General features: G+C 37.5%; 1 protein-coding gene across 21 annotated transcripts in view, besides 1 other annotated feature; it reads left to right on the forward strand.

Moving 5' to 3' along the window:
- PACRG (parkin coregulated) overlaps nt 1–21,764 on the forward strand; it is a 588,369-nt gene that overhangs the window by 343,300 nt on the left and 223,305 nt on the right. For 20 of the 21 annotated variants that reach the window (NM_152410.3, NM_001080378.2, XM_017010277.3 and 17 more), the window contains one exon: nt 18,828–18,977. In NM_152410.3, coding sequence (NP_689623.2) covers nt 18,828–18,977 — 150 coding nt within the window. Of the gene's footprint in view, nt 1–18,827; nt 18,978–20,525; nt 20,697–21,764 lie in introns of those variants that run through there. The other variant, XM_011535466.2, reaches the window with a different exon arrangement.
- Nucleotides 12,564–13,133: an enhancer, noted in NCBI's record as "OCT4-NANOG hESC enhancer chr6:163504027-163504596 (GRCh37/hg19 assembly coordinates)". NCBI's record gives its function as "activates a minimal SCP1, AML or CMV promoter by ChIP-STARR-seq in naive and primed H9 embryonic stem cells {active_cell/tissue: H9 hESC(naive and primed)}" and the evidence as "EXISTENCE:reporter gene assay evidence [ECO:0000049][PMID:30033119]".

A 21,764-nucleotide genomic window follows, 5' to 3' on the forward strand; every position in this document is an offset into this window, starting at 1 on the left:
ATTAGTTTTTGTTTTGCCCATTCATTTATGCAAACAGTATTATCAGCTTAAAATAATGAGTTATGAGATAGTATTTGCAATCTCATGGTAACTCAAATCAAAAAACATACAATGGATATACATAAAATAAAAAGCAAGAAATCAAATCATATCACCAGAGAAAATTACCTTCCTTCACTAAGAGGAAGACAGGAAGGAAGGAAAGAAGGAATAGAAGATCACAAAACAACCACAAAACCAAAATATCAAAATGACCATAGTGAGTCTTTATCAATAATAACATTGAATGTAAATGCACAAAAATCTCCAATCAAAAGGCACAGAGTAGCTGAATTGATTTAAAAAAAAAAAAGACCTAATGATCTGTTACAAAAAACACACTTCACTTAGGAAGACACACGTAGACTGAAAATAAAGAGATGGAAAAAGATATTCCATGCCAATGGAAACCAAAAAAGAGCAGAAGTTGCTATACTTATATCAGACAAAATAGATTTCAAGTCATAAACTATAAGAAGAAACAAAGATATAATGATAAAGGGGTCAATTCAGCAAGAGGATATAACAGTTGTAAATATGTAAGCACCCAATACTGGAGCACCCAGATAGGTAAAGCAAATATTATTAGAGCTAAAGAGAGAGACAGACCACAATACGATAATACCTGGAGACTTCAACACCCCACTTTCTGCATTGGACAGATCTTCCAGACAGAAAATCAACAAAGAAACATTGACTTAATCTGTACTATAGACCAAATGAATCTAGTGGATATTTACAGAACATTTCATCCAATGGCTGCAGAATACACATTCTTTTCCTCAACATGTGGATCATCTCAAGGATAGACCATATGTTAGGTCACAAAACAACTCTTAAAACATTCAAAAAAATTCAAATAATATCAAGCATCTTCTTGAACTACAATGGACTAAAACTAGAAATCAATAAGAGAAACTTTGGAAACTATACAAATGCATGGAATTAAACAATATGCTCCTGAATGACCTGTGGATCACTGAAGAAATTAAGAAGGAAATTGAAAATTTTCTTGAAACAAGTGGTAATGGATACACAACATGCAGCAGAAACATGAGATACAGCAAAAACATGACTAAGAGGGAAATGTATAGCTGTAAGGCTACATCAAAAAAGAAAAACTTGAAATAAATAACCTAACAATGCATCTTAAAGAACTAGAAAAGTAAGAGTAAACCAAACCCAAAATTAGTAGGAGAAAAGAAATAATAAAGACCAGATCTAAGTTAGAAAAAAAAAAAGACCCAAATAAATAAAATCAGAGATAAAAAAGGAAACATTACAACTGATATCACTGAAATTCAAAGGATCATTGGTGGGTACAATAAGCAACTATATGCCAATAAATTGGAAAATCTAGAGGAAACTGACAAATTCCTAAACACATAAAAACCTACCTAGGTTGAATCATAAAGAAATCCAAAACCCAAATAGACCAATAACAAGTAATGTAGACAAAGCATAATAAAAAGTCTCCCAGCAAAGAAAATCCCAGGACTCAATGGCTTCACTCTTGAATTCTACCAGACATTTCAAGAAGAACTAATACCAATCCTACTCAAACTATTCCCAAAAAAAAAATAAAGGAGAAGAGAATACTTCCAAGTTCATTCTATAAGGCCAGTATTATCCTGATACCAAAACCAGACAAAGACACATTAAAACAAAAAGAAAGAAAGAAAACCCAAGCTAATGTCACTAATAAATATTGATGGAAAATCCTCAACAAAATACTAGCAAACTGAATTCAACAACACATTAAAAAGATCATTCATCATGACCAAGTGAGATTTATCCCAGGGATGCAAGGATGTTACGATATATGCAAAGCAATCAATGTTATACAGCATGTCAACATCATCAACATATGAATGAAGGACAAAAAGCCTATGATCCTTTCAATTTGTCCTGAAAAATAAAAACAAATGTTTAACATCCCTTCATGATGAAAACCCCTCAAAAAACTGACTATCAAAGGAATATACCTCAACATAATAAAAGCCACGTACGACAGACTCACAGCTAGTATCACACTGAATGGAGAAAAACTGAAAGCCTTTCCTCCTAAAATCAGGAACACGACAGAGCGCCCACTTTCACCACTGTTATTCAACGTAGTACTGGAAGTCTTAGCTAGGGCAATCAGACAAGAGAAAGAGATAAAGGGGATCCAAATGGGAAAAGAAGAAGTCAAATTATCCTTGTTTGCAGATGATATCATCTTATATTTTGAAAAACCTAAAGACTCCACCAAAAAACTATTAGACCTAATAAACAAATTCGTAAAGTAGCAGGATACGAAATCAACAAACAAAAATCATTAGCATTTCCATATACCAAGAGTGAACAAACTGAAAAAGAAATTTTACAATGTAGTCCCATTTACAATAGCCACAGATAAAACTAAGTACCTAAGAATTAACCAAAGAAGTGAAAGATCTCCACAATAAAAACTTAAAACATTGATGCAAGAAATTGAAGAGGACACCAAAAAATGGAAAGATATTTTATGTTCACGAATTGGAAGAATCGATTTTATTAAAATGTCCATACTACCCAAAGCAATCTACAGATTCAATGCAATCTCTATAAAAATACCTATGACATTCTTCACAGAAACAGAAAAAAACAATTTTAAATTTTATATGAAACCGCAAAAGACCCAGAATTGTCAAAACTATCCGAAGCAAAAAGAATAAAGCTGGAGGAATCACATCATCTGACTTCAAATTATACTACATTATGGCATAAAAAACAGAAGCACAGACCAGTGGAACAGCATAGATAAGAGAGAAGTCAGAAATAAGTCCATACATCTACAGTGAACTCATTTTTGACAAAGGTGCCAAGAACATACACTGGGAAAAGAAAATCTCTTCAATAAATGCTGGGAAACCTGAATATCCATATGCACAAGAATGAAACTAGACCCCCATCTCTCACCATATACAAAAATCAAATCAAAGTGGATTAAAGACTTAAATCTAAGACCTCAAACTATGAAACTACTACAAGAAAACATTGGGGAAAATCTCCAGGACATTGGTCTGGGCAAAAATTTCTTGAACAATACCTGACAAGCACAGGCAACCAAAGCAAAAATGGACAAATGGGATCGCATCAAGTTATAAACCTTTTGCATAGCAAAGGAAACAATCAACAAAGTGAAGAGACATCTCACAGAATGGGAGAAAATAATTGCACACTATCCATCTGACAAGGGATTAACAGCTAGAATGTATTAGGAGCTCAAACAACTATACGAATAAAATCTAATAATCCAATTTTAAAATAAGCAAAATATCTGAATAGACATTTCTCAAAGGAAGACATGCAAATAGCAAATAGGCATATGAAAAGGTTCTCGACATAATTGATCATCAGAGAAATGCAAATCAAAACTATAATGAGATATCTTATCCCAGTTGAAATGGCTTTTATCCAAAAGACAGGCAATAGCAAATGTTGGTGAGGAAAAGGGAACCCTCATATGCTGTTGGTGAGAATGTACATTAATACAACCACTATGGAGGACAATTTGGAGGTTCCTCAAAAAACTAAAAGAGAGCTGCCATGCAATCCAGCAAGCCCACTCCTAGGTATATACTCAAAAGAAAGGAAATCAGTATATCAAAGAAATATCTGCATTCGCGTATTTATTGCAGCACTATTCACAATAACCAAGATTTGGAAGCAACCTAAGTGTCCATCAACAGATGAATGGATAAAAAAAATATGGTACATAAACACAATGGAGTGCTATTTAGTCATAAAAAAGAATGAGATCCTGTCATTTGCAACAACATGGATGGAACTGGAGGTCATTATGTTAAGTGAAATAAGCCAGGTGCAAAAAAGACGAACTTCACATGTTCTTACTTATTTTGGGGTGCTCAAAATTAAAACAATTTAACTCATGGAGATAGAGAGTAGAAGGATGGTTACCAGATGCGAGGGGAGTAAGCGGGGATGGTTAGAAGGTACAAAAAATAGTTAGAAATAGTACGACCTAGTATTTGCTAGCAAAACAGGGTGACTATAGTTGAAAACGACTTAATCATTCATTTTTAAATAACTAAAAGAGCATAATTGGATTATTAGTAACATAAAGAATAAATGCTGGAAGTGATGAATACCTCATTTACCCTGATGCGATTATTACACATTGCATGCCTGTAACAAAATACATATTGTAACCTATAAATATATATACCTACTATGTACCTACAAAAAATAAAGCAAAAATAAATTAAAATACATACAGAAAACCACCATACAATTAAGAGAACCAAAAACCAAATGTTGGTTGGTTCCTTTAAATTACGAATAACATTGATAAATATTTGGTAAACTTAGAATTAAAAAAATTAATTAGCCAGATGTGGTGATGCCGCCTGTAGTCCCAGCTACTGGAGTGGGAGGCTGAGGTGGGAGGATCGCATGAGCCCAGGAGCTCAGTGTTACAGTGGGCTGTGATTGGGCACTGCACTCCCGCCTGGGTCACAGAGTGAGACTCTGTCTCAAAAAGTATATATATATAACTAAATTTAAAATGAGAGAAGACAGAAATAACCAATATCAGAAATAAAAAAGGAAGTGTCACACAAATCCTACAGACATTGAAAATATCATGATAGGGTATTAAGAACAACTTATCCCTAAAACTTTGAATTGTTCATGAAATGATCAAGGTGGAAAATATAACTTACCAAAACTGACACCTGAAAAATAGAAAATAAGTTAAAATACAAACACTAATACAACAAATGAAGAAATTAAGTCAGTAATTAAAATCCCCCACACAACAATAGCTCAAGGCTCACATAGCTTCACTGGTTAGTTGTACCAAACAGCTGAAGAAAAAAATAATTGTCATTTTGTACAAATTTTTCCAGACAATAAAACTGGAGAATACACACTTCAACTCATTTCATAAAGCTAGCATAACCTTGATACCAATATTCATGGATATTATAAGAAAGGAAACTTCCAGGACAATCTCACTCATAAACATCAAGGAAAATTTATTAAACAATATAACTAACAAATAGAATCCATCAATATATAAAAAATGATAATACCTCATGACAAAGTTGGTTTTATTTCAGGAGTATAAGACTGGCTTAACACTAGAAAAATCAATCAAGCCAATTTACAACATTAATGAATTAAAAAATGATTATTTAATAAATGGTGAAAAAGCATTTGATAACATTTAACATTCATTCATGTATTTAAAACAAACTGAGAATAGAAAGGAATTCCCTTAATCTGATACAGGGAATTTTATCAATCAGAATAAACTAGTTTACATTTCAATAACAACCAATCCCAAAAATCTTAGGGGCTTAAAACAATACATTACTTAAAACATGAACAATATAGATTTCTGACTGTGCAACCTGTCTGTTGCAGGTTAGCAGCAAGGTTCTGTTCATTGTCATTGCTTAGGGACCCAGCCTGATAGTTGTTGCTGGTTCAGTACCACAGGAAACAAGAGCTCAGAAGGTCCACCCTGGAAGGGGCACATTTCACTTCTATTCACTATTCATTGGCCAGACATAGTCTAGGGCCCATCCAACCTTAACAGGGCCACAACGTGCAATCCTACAAGGGCATTATGAATACATTTTACAGCCCCTGGATTCTGTTGTCTTCCTGTGAAGAGTGTTGATTCTAATTCTGGCAGACAATTAATTGGACACAGACCCCAAACCTTGTCTTCTCTGTGGTGGACAACAGCTGAAGTTATTTCATTTTCAGTTTTTTCATCTTGCAGCTTTTGCTCGCCATCTGGGACTACTGGGAATCTCCCCATGTGTGTAATTCTAAGAGGTCAGCTAAGGCAGAGCTTACATGCAAATTTCAGTTTACACCCTCTGCGAGGCCCTCGCTTCCAAGATCCCCTCTTCCAATTTTCTACCTGCTCTTCCAGCCCAGAACTCTCTCTCCAAGTCAGTTTACCTGCTTTCTGCTGCCCCAGGCCACACAACTTAGCTCGTAGGGAAAAAGCTTTCAACTCACCTTATCAGGTGCATTTCCAGATTTTAAGGGCAGACTCCTCTCCAAAGTCGGCCTACTTTAAATTCTTTGGCATGGCTTTCAAGGATTCCCACTATCTGGCTGAAAATTTTGTTTTTGACTTTATTTCTTACTATTTCCCTTCATTCACCCTGTGCTCTAGCCAAACCGATTGTGCCGTAGAACTTGCCTTGCACTTTTCTAATTCTTTGTCTTCGCTCATTTTTCGGAATGCCCATTCTCACATCCCCAGATGCCTAAACATTAAGTGACCTTCAAAGCCCAGCTCCAATATGAATTGATCTATAAAGCCTCTTCTGATTCACCTCTCCACTCCCTACCCTCAACTCCAGTCCTATCCCCACTCTGCCTTCCCTCCCCGACATAACTTTATAGCTCCTCTCTCATGTCACTTAGAACATAATGTTAGAAAGTAATACATCCCCACAGCATCTAATGTCCTGGCTAGTACACAAGAGATGCATCAAAATATTTGCAAGATTAATTTAATAAGGTACATAACTGCTGTCTGTACTGAAATCTGTATAGGTGCCGTAATCAAAAGCATGAAGTGGCCATTTGGGCCTGCCACTGTACTATATATTCTATAAAAACTGTCGCATAAGACTCTCTCATATGAAACAACAGATGAAGGGTATAATGATATAGTGCTTTCTATTTATTGGGAGAATTATTTAAGTGGTGAGAGTACATTTCTGTTGATTCATCTACATTCTCTCACGTGATTCTATCATAAGCAGCAACATACTTTTGTGAGATGGCCTAGTAGGAGGAGAGGTGACCCTGGTTGCCAAAGAATTATGGAAATATCACTGCTTTACAAATAGACGGGCCATAACACGGTGGCTTCATTAGGAGAGCTCTAACGAGGTGAGGTCATCCGGCAGTAAAGGGCAGGCGTGCACAGACACAGCGGAAGAAACCTGAGCAAGAACATTTTACCAAGCAAAATATTCTGTTAAGGAAAACCTAGTGGGGAAAAACACCACCGAGTAAGAATGAAATATGAGAATCCATATCACAATACAAAAATTACTTTGGGAATTCTATTTACTAAGAAAGAAGCAAGTACAATTGAAATGCATTACCCTTTACTCATGATCTAATAATTTTACTTATCTTGACATTTTCCAAGTAAATTATTCTGAACGTGATCATAATTATTTTAAAAGTAATGATTTTTAATTTTGGAAAAACAAGTCTAATCTGTTTAAAAAACATTAAAAAGAGGTGTCTGACTTAGGATTATTTTGGTTACCAGATACAGAAAGAAAGTGGTTTCAAATTGTCTTAGACAGTAAAGTTTGCCTGGTCACTCGCCAGAGGAAGGAATCAACATCAGGCCTCGCCCTGTATGAACAGGGGAATGAGGAAGGGTGATCCAGCACCCACGATGGAGGCGGCAGAGATGGAGAGAATGGACAGCTTAGCTGTCCCTGCCAGCAAGGCACAGCATGTTTAAAGAGAGAACCAGCTAGATGCATTTTCAAGCCGAATCCGCCGTGCATTAACTGTCCCTTTCCCACTCTCAAATAAATAAATAAACAAACCAATTCTATCACTCTTCTAGTGTAATGTGATGTTGAGGGGCAAAAGCTCTGAAGTCAGACTACCTCATCAAAATTCCAACTCTACCGCATAACTGCTATCGTCCAAGTTAACTACCTGGAGACTCAGGAGCCTAACTTATAAAATTGGGGCAATAGGACCGGGCGCAGTGGCTCACACCTGTAATCCCAGCACTCTGGGAGGCCGAGGTGGGTGGGTCACCTGAGGTCAGAAGTTCAAAACCAGCCTGGTCAACATGGTGAAACCCTTTCTCTACTAAAAGGATACAAAAATTAGCCAGGCATGGTGGCGGGTGCCTGTAATCCCAGCTACTTGGGAGGCTGAGGCAGGAGAATCACTTGAACCCGGGAGACGGAGGTTGCAGTGAGCTGCACTGCGCTCCAGCCTGGGCAACAAGAGCAAAATTTAGTCTCAAAAAAAAAGGGGGGGAGGGGGGCAATGATGATAATGACATCCAATTTATTGGGCTATTTCAGTGATTAAATGAGCTAATATGTAAGGTTATAAGTGTTATCATTGTCATCATTATCATCGTCATCATTATCATCATCATCATCATTCTCTGCCTAAATTACGGCAACATTTTTTAGTCACCCGGGCTAGAGCCTCAGACTGAGAATCTTCACTCCTGCTCCCATGTGGAGGCTGAGCTGTAGTCAGGACTAGCACTACCGCAGTGCCTCCCCTTGCTCTTCAAAAGTTGCCGTGAAACCCCACTTCATCACTATTACTAGTGGCTTATTCCTTAAGCCACCAAAGCACAGGACACAGCAGGTGTCTCGAATGCCTGCTCAAAGTCCACCCTAGATTCTATGTTTGCTGTGCCGCTTTGAACATTTCTCATGAGCACACGCCAGGTTGGCTGTACACCAGTATCCCATGCCTGTGGGTACGCTGGGAGGGTGAGGGGCCTGAGCATGCTGAGTGCAGACCGGATCCCAGCTTGCTACTAACTAGCTGTGTGATCTCAGGCCACCTGACTCTTTTAACTGTCCCAGAGCATTAGAAAACTGATTGCCCAGAGACACTGTAAGGAGTAATGAGATTATACAAATAGAACATTTAGCATGGTGCCCGATCAAGAATAAATTATTTTTATATCCTTGGTTTTCCTTCATGGTCATGTCTCTGCAGACTTCTAAATTGGGGTCATCAAAAAAAATTGATAGATTTGGATTCTATAACATTCATCCAAGTTACAGTAAAAACTTTAGATGGAAACTGGACTCGATCAAATATAGATACATGAGGTATCCCACTCAGGGCTGTACAGGCTGGTACCAAATCATTAGTGCGTATTACTTGGATACAATTGTTCACAGAGTTAAAAAAAAAAAAAAGAAAGAAAGAAAAAGCCTACTTTTTCAACCATTCCTGTATCCTCCCTATAAGGAAAACCATAGAGGCCTTGCCAGATGCTTTGCTGATACAGTTTATTTATTATCTCCTTTATGAGGAAACATATTAGAATACATGAGGTTAGCTTGGCTGGCCTTATTCCAGAGAGCTCACTCTGACTCCTGGTAACAACTACTATTTTCCTAGGAGCTCCCGAATCACCTGCTTAAATAATCAGTCCTAGAATCACAGCAGTTATTGATGTCAGGCTTAGCAGTGTGTAGTTTTCAAACTCCTTCTTGGAAATTGGTCTCTTTACCCGTCTTCTATTTTGTGCACATCTCTTGTCTTGTTTTGTGAAGAGCCTGTGCACATTGTATCTTTCTTTACACTCCACTGCTTCTACTGTCTAAACCCTGTGGAAATGTAGACACCTTTTCTCAACCAGAAGAAGAAATGTAGCAGTCATTCTTTTTTTTTTTTTTTTTTTTTTTTTGAGATGGAGTCTCACTCTGTCGCCCAGGCTGGAGTGCAGTGGCGCGGTCTCGGCTCACTGCAACCTCTGCCTCCCGGGTGCATTCCATTCTCCTGCCTCAGCCTCCCTTAGTAGCTGAAACTACAGGTGCCCGCCACCACGCCTGGCTAATTTTTTGTATTTTTAGTAGAGACGGGGTTTCACCGTGTTAGCCAGGATGGTCTCGATCTGGTGACCTCATGATCTGCCCGCCTCGGCCTCCCAAAGTGCTGGGATTACAGGCTTGAGCCACTGTGCCCGGCCCTAGTCATTCTTAGAAGTAGTGGTGCATGATGCAGCATTCTCTTGGTTTTTACTCTGAAAATGGTGCTAACTCCTTCCTTTGGTCACCTTTTCAGTTTTCACCCCAATCTTTGCAGATGAACTGAGACACAATTTAGGTACAGAGGAGCAAGGAGCTCCAAAGACACGAACCTGCCCCGCCTCTGACAGTGCCACAGTGCTGATGGGTTTACTCTCAGTTTCTGTGAGACGTGCTCATACGTGTGTAAGCAAGTGCAGGCCCAACCTGGGCAACAAGACTGAAAAGGAGTATGTTGGATGACATGACGCTTCAGGTTTCATTCTCTGTGTCTGGAATATGGGGAGTGTCAAATAGATCATGCTAGGGACTGCATCATGGAGACCATTTTGGTAACTGAATACTTTCATTTACTCAAACAGCATGAATTATGTATCTACATTTAAAACAAAGTATGTCATGGAGAGAATGGCCAAACACTTTCAACAAATACTAAATTATATTCTACAGCCATGAAAGAATATATTTTGATCTATTGAAAAATTGAAAAAGAGTCAGCCACTTGTAATGGCAAAACTTTGATGGAAAATCTGAGTTTTGCATAAAGATAGTTGCATGGCATGCTATGGTATTTATATATTTTACATATTATATATGTGTTGAGAGAAAAATCAATATTTTTTGTATGACATTTACTTCAAGTAGGAGAAACTTGAAAACAATGAATTAAAGAAAAAAATGTAATCCTTATTATAGGCTTACCTCATGTCCATAATAGCTGATCTAAATCGATCATACTTTAATTGCCTAGGAATATGATAAATCAGGCTGTGTCATATTTACTTATATAGCAATTGAGCTCTGTTATGGAAGGAGAAAAATTTCTACAATTTTGAAATCTAAATTTGGTTTGAAAATATATTTTGAATTCATTCTACCCTATAAAATAGAAAATTATATGGTTGGCACTCCTGAACTAGCAAAATTTATATCCATTGTAATCTAATTCAACTAACGCTATAATGGGCCCAAAACATAAAATATTTATTAAACATTTTAACTTCAGAAAAAATAATAAAATTCTATGAGACACTATAATAGACAAATTCATAAAGACAAAAAGTAGATTATCAGGGACTACAGCAGGGGCATGGGGAGTCTTTGCTTAATGGCTACAGAGTTGTGGGTGATGAAGAATTTTTAGAAAAAGATAATGGTGAGACTTGCACAACATTGTAAATCTAATTAATGCCACTAAATTGTATACTTTAAAAAGGTGAAAAGGCATGGTGGCTCACGCCTGTTAATCCCAACACTTTGGAAGGCCAAGGAGGGCAGATCACTTGAACCCAGAAGTTTGAGACTAGCTTCGGCAACATAGTGAGACCCCATCTCTACAAATATAAAAAAATTAGCCAGCCATGGTGGTGTGTGCCTGTAGTTCCAGCTACTCAGGAGGCTGAGGTGACAGGATCACTTAAGCCCAGGTGGATTAAGCTATAGTGGGCTATGATCACACCACTGCACTCCAGCTAGGGTGACAGAGTAAAACCCTGTCTCAGAAAAAAAAGTGGGGGGGAGTAAATGCCATATTTTATGTTACATATATTTTACCCACTAAACAAAATAAGGTATTAAAATACATAAGAATGATAAAAAAACTAACATGCCTGCTCTCAGCACTATAATGCTATATTTTCTTTTAGAAATTCTAGCCTCTGTCACCTGACCAAAAAAGGAGAGATAAATATTAGAAAGCAAACACAAATTTAACAATATTTTTGGTAATATCATTACATATAAAATCCAACTTAATTCACTCAAAAACAATTAGATCCAGTAAGGGAATTAAATAAGTTAGCCCGTTAACAAAGTAAGTATATAAAAGTCATATACTTTTGTGTGTATATTATCAATAACCTTTAGGAAGAATATTGGGATTAAATAATTTTACACAAATAACAACAAAATATAGAATTTCTGTGAGTATATCTAACAAAATTTGCAGGATCTATGTGAAAAAATACTATAAAACTTTTCCAAGGAACTTAAAGACAAGAAAATTGAAGACATATCATGTTCCTAATGGAAGGATTCAGTAGTAAAGATGGCAATTGTCTGCCAAATTATTCTCTAATTTTACCAAAGGGCCAAGCACATTTGCAATTTCAACTAATTATCTTAAAGTTTGTCTCAAAAAATAAAGGGTTAAAAATAATTGAGAGAATATTGAGAAAGAACAATGAGAAATAGATTGAATTCTGATCTATTAAAACACAAAGTTACAATCATGAATAATAATATGTAATAACAAAAGAAAAATATGCACTGTATATTGATAATTTTTTAGAAAGCAGTTTTTAAAAGCGCTTATCTTTTAGTGGAACATATGTCTATGGAAAAGATAGTCCCTTCTGTTAGCGTCTCAGTACACAAGTTTCTAGTATTTATGCAGTTTACATTCTATTTTATAAAATGAGGTCCGAGTGCAAATATGCTTTATAGTTTACTTCTTTAGTCACTTGTGTCTTAAACATTTTCCTATTTTAAACTATTTTTTCTATTAGATGACTAATAATTTTATAGTTTTTCATTGTGTGGATATACTATAGTTTACTTAAACAATTTGTTGTTCTTGGAACATTTAGATTGTTTCTAATTATCAATAATACTGGGCTTAGCATTCTTTCCTACAATGCTTTGTGCACATTTGCCTAAATCCTTGGACTAACTACCCAGAAATGAAACTGCTAGGTTAGCTGTTTTATGCATTTTTATGGCTTTTAGGTTTATTGCCAAACTGCTCTGTAGAAAGGTTGGAATAGTTTATAACATGGTGTCTATCAGGGCGTCTCCTCTTTTCTCTTTTCTCAAACCTGTTTCCACACTGACAGTGTTAAATTGTCAACAACTTTGTGTTAACATGATATTAAAAATTACCAATGAAGTTTGTGAAAGGAAAATATCTTGGGCCCCCAAAATCACTCAGGAAAAGTCAAGCTGGAAACTGCTTAGGGCAAACCTGCCTCCCATTCTATCAAAGTCACTCCTCTGCTCACTGAGATAGATGCAAATCTGATTTGCCTCCTTTGGAGAGGCTCATCTGAAACTCAAAAGAATGTTAACTGTTTGTGTATCACCTCTCTGTGACCTGGAAGCTCCCTCCCCGCTTCCAGTCTTCCTGCTTTTGCTTTAAGTTGTCCTGCCTTTCCAGACCAAACCAATGTACATCTTACATATATTGACTGATGTCTCATGTCTCCATAAAATGTATAAAACCAAGCTGTGTGCCAACCACCTTGGGTACATGTCAGGACGTCCTGAGGCTGTGTCAGGGGCGTGTCCTCAACCTTGGCAAAATAAACTTCCTAAATTAACTGAGACCTGTCTCAGATTTTCTGGGTTTCACAAGTTGAACATTCCAGAATAGTAAATGTTCATTTTTATGTATTAATTTGTGCGTTGTCTGTTTATGTGCCGTGCCCATTTTTTTAATTGGAAGATTCAGTCCTTTATTGGGTTGTGATAGCTATTTGTATGTTAAAGCTATTAACATTTAAAGCATATGTCAAAAATATTTTTTAGAATTTTGTTTGCTTTTGCCTTTTGTTTGGTGTTTCTTGTTTTAAAAGAAGAAGCAGAAATGTTTCCTTTTTTCCTGATACCACAATAGTGAATGACATCTAATAGTAGAAAAAGTTCTCACTTTGCAAAAAAAAAATCATAAAATAGTGGATTTTATGCCTGAGAAAATTATACATGTAGCATATAACCATTTAAGATAAATAACTTTTACCACCCTTGACTTCAAATTATTTTTTCCTTATTCTTCAGCAATTTCTCTATATCTGAAGCCTCTATCTTGTTTATTATACCTAAAGCCAGTAAGCAGTACAATAGAAATCCAATTTTCTGAATAGAAAGGTTCCATTTGTTGATCTATAATGTCAGTAGACTCCTCATGTTAGAACCTTTTCAAAACCTTAAATCTTGAGTTCAAAGTCCTCACTTATGTCTTGACAATAGCTTTCAGGCCCATCAACAAAAGAATAAACACATTTCTTCTCTTTCAAGCTACAAAATCATATTCTCTTTATACCTGTTAGCATACTTTTTCAAAGGAAAAGAACTGTTTCAAAAAAAAAATCTTTTTGCTTTAATTCCGCTGTGACAGTAAGAACAAAAAGACTTCCGACTTCATGGTGTATCTTAATTCTCTGAGAATGAAGAAGAGAAATAGAGGAACTGAAGAGAAAATGGGCAGTGTAAGAAATCCCTGTTGGACGAAGTTAAGAGGCTTTTAAATAGTGCATATCCTGCCTTTGTTTCACAGCTACTGCAGAAGTTTTAGAGCCATTACCTGTCCATTGAGGAGGACTTAGAGCTCCATTTTAGATGCCATTACGCGTTACAGTTCAGGCATTTTACTTCTTGGTCACTGTCAATCCAATAACGTTGATCACAACCATGTTAATTCAGGCAAGGTTTCCTGATAGCTAATATCTAATCTATGTCCTAATAGTTAATATCATTATCCATTGTGAGAGAGATTATTAATGCATGCCCAAATGATCAATTAGGTATAGACATGGACATAAACCTAATAAAAATTTAATGTTAGTGTTACTCATATATCTCATATATACATATGTGTGCATATATATAATATATATATTATATTATATATATAAATTTACTCCTTGATACCAGTATATTCTACAGGGCAAACTTCTTCTCTCACATTGGCAGTAGATCAGCATACCCAGGCTGTTTTATTGCAACCTTCGGCGGGCACACACTAAAAGAACAACACTGGGATACGCCAGCATCCAGTGACCACAACGGTCACCAAAACCTTTTCTGCAATTACCACATTCAGGTAGTAATCACTTTGTTACCTTCCATAGGCTCTCCTACTTATGACTTCATAGTGTCAACAGAACAGCTTTTTTTAAAACACAAAAACAAAACCTATGAAATGGAGTGAGGACTGTATGTGCTCAGTCATACATTTCTTTTAATATATACAGAAATGCAAACAACACACCCATGTGATTCTGTTCTGTGTCTAATCCTTCCTCACTAAGCAGTTTATAAGATATTTAGCTAGCTGTGGCTCTGAGTCCTTCTTAAGGAGTGGGATGGGAAGGAGAGATGAATAAAGAGAAAAGAAAGAAACCCAGGATCTCAAACATCTGATTCTGTTTGGTTGATAAGGCAAGGTGGGACCCAGGGATTCTTGAGCTTGGGAAAAATCACTACAGCCTCACCCTCCTTTTGTATGCACCTCCATACTCCTCTCCAGCACTTCCAAACGATCCCAAGAAAGACACACTCCCAGTGACACATCCAGTCAGGGTATCTTTCTACTATCTCTTGAATCCCCCAGGGGAATCTCATGCATCCAAGCTGGAGCAGCCCCTGCAGTGAAAGAACTCCTTACTGGGAAGCTAGTCCCTAGCGCGCTGCTTCCTCTCCTGGAAACTCTTCATGTAAATGACATCTACTCAGCCCTGGGGTTTGTTCCCACATCTGGGAGCCTTCCCTTAACCCTAGACTAGGCGTGGGACTTGATTGTCTGCTTAAACGCCCTGTCCTTCTTATGTGTAATTGTCACATTTGTCATACTTGTTTAATATCTTTTTCCATACTATTTTACAAACCCCAAGAGGTTGGTACCATACTTGCCTGATTCATTTCTGTCCTTCCAATTCCTAAAACAGTGATGGGCATGTAATGCATGCACTCTCAATAGACATTTGGTGAGGGAAGTCTAAGTAAGTTAATACAGGTGAAGTGCTCGGTTTAATTCCTGGCACATGGCGGTGCTCACTACATGTTAGCTACAGGTGCTGTGAATCACGCACATATCTGTGCAGTCCTGAAGCCTAAACCCGTTGAGCATAGTTGGTAGACTTTGAAAGAATATCAACTGCCCCCAATCCTTAGAACATTTCTGGCCTGCCAGTTCTCCTGGTAACCTGAGCTTGTCAGTACATAAGGCTCACTAACCCCTGACATTCTAAAAAGGCAAAACAGCTTTTAGATCAGATAAGACCAGATAGAGAGTCTCTACTGCTGACTGCAACACGCTGCGTGCCTTCTTCCTCCTCACCTTCTCATGGTGATCTGAAACCTTGTTCTTGAATATCTCATGACTCCAGCTCTTAAGCTAAATGATAGCATTCTAATTTTAGTTGTTTTTCAGCAGATAGATTTTGTCCTGCAGTGTGTCTAACTGCTGCTGTAATGAGCCATCATGCTGCTGAGTTCTATGGTTATATTTAGGTTGGTTCCCTGAGTGAAGGCTGAGCCGTCTCTTTTCATTACATTTGTATTTACTTTCAAACTAAACAAGAACAGAGTCTGGACTGGACCAGAAGTTGTAGGGGGCTCTGAAGTGTTTTCATGCAACAAACCCTAGTTCGTTGCTAGGGGGGATGAATCTGACCACATTTTTTTAAAAAACTTCCTAGTGATTCCAGAGGAAATGGCTGTGAAACCACTAAATGATATCTTATATTCTAGGACTTTTAACAGAGGATTCGGTTTAGTTCAAACTAGCCAGGCATAAAGGAAGCACTTAGGATAAGTTTGAACTAAACCAAATCCTCAGTTATAAGTCTTGGAAAATAAGGTATCATTTAGTGGTTTTGCAGCTATTTCCTCTGGAATCACTAGAAAATTTTTAAAAATAAAGTGGGGTATGATTCATCCCTTTCAGCAACAAACTAGGGGCTGTGGTATAAAAACACTTCTGAGCACCCCACAAATTCTGAGGCCAATGGAAGCGGGTAGGGGGCCCTGAGCAATTTTAGCAGGTGGTGAGATGATCAGATAAGCTTGAGGGAGGGTAACCCCGCGGTACCTTGAAAGACAGGTTGGGGAAGTGGAGAAAGACAGAAAGAAAAGAGATCCATACAAGAGCAGGCTGGTGCTCCAGTGAATGGGTCCCAAGGATCAGAACCAGAGGAGTAGCAATAAGAATGGATACCTAGAGGAGAGAAGGTGAGGATGGAGAGTGAGACCAGAGAGAGAAGATGAGGATGGAGACTGGGACCAGAGAAGAGGAGGTGAGGCTGGAGACCAGGACCAGAGGAGAGGAGGTGAGGATGAAGACCAGGACCAGAGAAGAGGAGGTGAGGATGGAAACAGGGACCAGAAGAGAGATGGTGAAAATGGAGACTGGGACTGGAAGAGAGAAGATGAAAATAAAGACCAGGATGAAAAGAGAGAAGGTGAAGATGGAAACCAGGACCAGAGGAGAGGAGGTGAGGATGGAGACCAGGACCAGAGGAGAGGAGGTGAGGATGGAAACCAGGACCAGAGGAGAGGAGGTAAGGATGGAGACCAGGACCAGGGGAGAGGAGGTGAGGATGGAGACCAGGACCAGGGGAGAGAAGGTGAGGATGGAGACCAGGAACAGAGGAGAAGAGGTGAGGATGGAGAGTGAGACCAGAGGAGAGGAGGTGAGGATGGAGGCCAGGACCAGAAGAGAGGAGGTGAGGATGGAAACCAGGACTGGAGCAGAGAGGGTGAGGATAGAGACTGACACTGGAGGAGAGGAGGTGAGGTTGGAGAGTGAGACCAGAGGAGAGGAGGTGAAGATGGAGAGTGAGGCCAGAGGAGAGGCAGTGAGGATGGAGACTGGGACCGGAGCAGAGGAGGTGAGGATGGAGACCAGGACCAGAGGAGTGTTGGTGAGGATGGAGAGGGAGACACAAATTCAAGAGATACTGCAAAAGGAAAACCAGATGATTTGGTAACATGAGGAATGCGAAGGAGGAGAAACAGGCTTTGACCTGGAGTGACTGGGAACAAGGTTTATCTTTACTAAATATGAGGAACATAGGGAAGAAAAAGAAGTTCAGGGAGGAAATTTAGTCTTTGGAACAAACTGAATTTGAGGTTCTGGCAAGATCCAGGCTGATGGAAATGTGAGCTGGAGTTCAAGAACAGTGTCAGGACTGCCTCAGAGATGTATTGACCAAAGCATCATTTCTTTTTATAGCCTGGGTCCTTTTGTCCCTTCACAGTGGCATCTGCTTTAAGGTCATAGTCAATCTTTTTCATTAGAAGGTAGAACATCTTACAAATAAGAGCCTTTGACTTCTTCTTGGAGTCATCTGAGGCATCACATTTTATTAATTGCACTTTTGACCTTCTATAATAGATGTTTTATCTGGCTCTTCTACTTAAACCATGGTACTTTTAGCCATCTTAGAAAGTGCATAACAGGCTCCCATGATTGAAGAAACTGGGGCCAAGAAAGTGCCAGTAAGTTGGCCAACCTCGCACAGCCAGTTATCAGCATCCTGATTCCCGACCCCCTGCACTTCCCACTGGGGCAAGTGGTGCCTTTCAGACCCTCCCTGGTGGCATCTTGCTCTGTCTCTGCAGTACAGCTTGTTACTTTGCACTCAGAACTGTTTCTTTAGAACTGTCATATTCCTGTGGTCTCTTATAGCTTATGTGTTGTTTCCTTCTAACTGAACTTTAAAAAATTTTGCTTTTCTTTCCTACTTTGTGAGGGCCTAAACGTAGTCACTTTATGTTCACTTCTACCAAGAATATTCTCGGTGTTTGTAACCAGCCTATAGATTTGAACACCATGCCTCACCCTCCTTCCCAAATGTTCGTTCCATGTTAATGGTTTTAAGAATTGTATGGATTGTTGCATGAAAGAGATTGTTGCATGAAAATGTATCTGTTGTCAACCCACATGGGTTCCTTTAACTCCAGCAACATTAAGTGATCTTTTGTCTTTCATACTGCTTATCCAACTCAGAGCCCCGGCCTCTTCTACGAGGGGAAAATGAGCTGCATTCCTAGGGCTGGTGAGAAATCAGTGCCAATGGGGAGAATAAACAGTAATCAGACAAGATTCCATTTAAAACATTAGGGTTGCAATGTGTCATCCAAAGCTATAATAATAAAGGCCCATTGGTCCCCAGTAGAGCACAGTTTAATTAAATGCAACCACAAGACAACTTTACCTTAACCTTGTAGACCTGATGCTTTCTATTAAAATATTTTCTGCTTGGTCCTTCTTTTACCATATAGATGCCTTGAACCTCCGAAACCGACAGGTCATCTGTGTCACTCTCAAGGTCCTCCAGCATCTGGTTGTGTCAGCTGAGATGGTGGGCAAGGCCTTGGTGCCTTATTACCGTCAAATCCTCCCTGTCCTGAACATCTTTAAGAATATGAATGGTGAGTGAGCCCACGAGTCAAAATGTCTTTTAAGCCAAAGAAAAAGGGAGTGGTTTGAAGTAGAGTTAATTAGCAACACGTTTAGGATTTATTATTGCATATAAACCATGATCCATTTGGAGATCTAAATAGCATATTCCCACGCCTTCTCCAGCTACTCCCTAGGGAAACAGTAAAGTTAACAATTTCATTTATTACTCCTCAGGTACAGCTTACTTACTCAGTACAGAAGTGCTGAAGCAGTTCTATAAACTTCCAATAATTAAATTTGAAGTTTTTTTAATGGTCTTTTGAATACATTAGTAGGTTTTGAGTTTGTTCTTTTTCTTCATAGTGATTCTACCTTTAGATACTTCCTGTTACAATTTCAGTCAGCTTTTTTCCATTGGTTTAAGATGAATTTTTAAGCACTATTATTAAAATCTGGTAAATGGTTTTGATGATTCATTTATTTTTTGTAGTATTATTCTATAAGCTTTGGAAAACACAGATGAATTCATATGGCTCTATTTTACCCTAACAAAGATATTAGCAAGTTTTTGGTGACCTTTGGCAGGCAGTGGATGTAAATCTATTCATTAAGCGTGTGATTTCATTGAAATGATGAGTCTAATTTTCTTTTTTGTTGTTAATTTTGAAGTTCCGTACTTCTCACATGCATGTTATAAGTCAACATGAAGTTATTTCCTGATAGTGGTATCAATAAGTTAGTAATTTAATGGAGCACTGAATGAAACTTTTACAACATGATCTGCTCATCATACATTCAAGAAAAAAAATCAAACAAGAAGCTGAGTTTACAGCAGCTCCTGCCACAAACAGACTTTTGTTTGGAATCACTATTTTTTATATTATTACTCAATTGCTATTATGTCTGCTCCAGGCATAGACTATTCAGGAAATCATGGAATTCTCAAAAAGCTTTTAGCTCTCTTTCAGTAGTAGAACCGGCTTATATGTTAAATACTATACATATTTAGAAAAAGGACTTCAAACTGGAGTTATAGGAGCTTACAAATGCCTGTAATGGAGTGCTTGCAATGGTATTCTGTTCAAATTATCTGAAGAGCTGTGGGTAAGGTGGACATTCAGGCAAGATGGTTAGTCTTTACGCAAAGTAATAACTGGGTTTTAATAATTGAGTCTCTTATTGTTAAAATGTAATGTTTTAGTAACAATATTACTACATTTGGAAAATACTTATTTAAACAGTCTTCATTCATAGTTCATATTTTTACCATATAGTAGCAGCAAATATCCATGAAGTTATGGGAGACTCCCGATGTGCACCTTTTTCAACTAAGGTCGATAAAAGAAACTCTAACTGCATACCTCATATTTAGATTCTAGTAACTTGAGGGAGATAGAGATAAAGATGTTCTGCTAGAGATGAGAGCATTATTAAAGAGATGGAAGCATCAGGGAACAGCCACCCCCAAATGTCTTAGTTAACATTTTTGAAGTGTGCGATTCACTAATATTTCCTCAGTAATCCTCATGCAAACCTATGATGCATGTACTATTACTATTTCCATTTAATTGTTGCAGAAGTTGCCTCTTGTAGCTTTCCTCCCATGTGAACAGTTATTCTGTACTTGATGATCCTGGAAGATGAGCCTGAACACATTTCTCCTTTCTTGCCTGAGTATCTGGGAATAGGTAGCTACTGCAACACTGCTTTAATGCTTTTGTTGGTCACACAATAAAGGCTAGAACTTATATCTAAGCATCATTCTGTATCCCTGTATAAAAGTAGAAAATCAGTGATGTTCAAAGGACAATTAGAATCTTTCTTTATCCTCAAGGAAATCTATAAAGATGGATAAATATTGCTGCCGCAAAGACAGATAAATCTTGTTGGGAGCTCTAGACTACTAAACAAAACAATTGGTTTCTACTGCTTTCTCATTATAGTTTTTCTTTAAACCTTTAACTCACAGGTGTTCATACACTTAACAAAGAAAATTATTGACTTTAAGAATAAATCCCTAGTAAGATTTTATCAATGTGGGACATTTAAAGTTCATACGAGAGTCCTTAATTGGTTCCAAACTCAGCTAATTCTTTTGGAGTCTTTCTAAATGCATGCATCAGGAATTCTACATTTAAATTATTTTTCTGCTTAACATTTTTCTGACATTTGTAGGGAAAAATATTATCTTCCGCTTCATTTTCTACTTATCTTAGAAACCTGTCACAACAATGCCAGCCTGCAGTTTGCTGTATTTTCAGAGGGTCCTATTACAAAATTGGAGCATTCTAGCTATAAAAACTTAAAACTGTTCCTTAAAGTAGCTATGTTACCCTAGATCCAATTCTTTCAGAAAAAAAAGCTTATCGCAGGATTTTCAATTACATTAGAATTTTCACTAGGAAAATGATTTAGCTTTAATAACATTTTAAGAAAGCCTGCTTTATGATATACATCACAAAATTATATATACTTATTTTATTTAAGCAGATGTCCTTAGTAACAGATATAATTATTTACAATTAAAATTACATTAGAAATTGACAGTATGTAGCAGTAGAAAAAACTCATCCTAAATTTCAATGTATTTGAGAACAATTGCACATTTCCGTATTCCTCTTTTTTTGTATTTCTCTTTTATGTAAATCAATGTCTTGTTAAACTCAGATTCAAAAATATTTCTTTCAAGTCCCACTACAAAATTCTTTTTAGAATGAGACCAGATACAAATGACAAAAAAGAATGAGAGAAAATATTCTTTCAAATAAAATGACCTGTCTGTCAGCATCCCCTCAAAGCGCAAACATTAGATTAGT

This window comes from Homo sapiens, chromosome 6 (genome assembly GCF_000001405.40).
Source record: "Homo sapiens chromosome 6, GRCh38.p14 Primary Assembly".
Taxonomy (NCBI): Eukaryota; Metazoa; Chordata; class Mammalia; order Primates; family Hominidae; genus Homo; species Homo sapiens.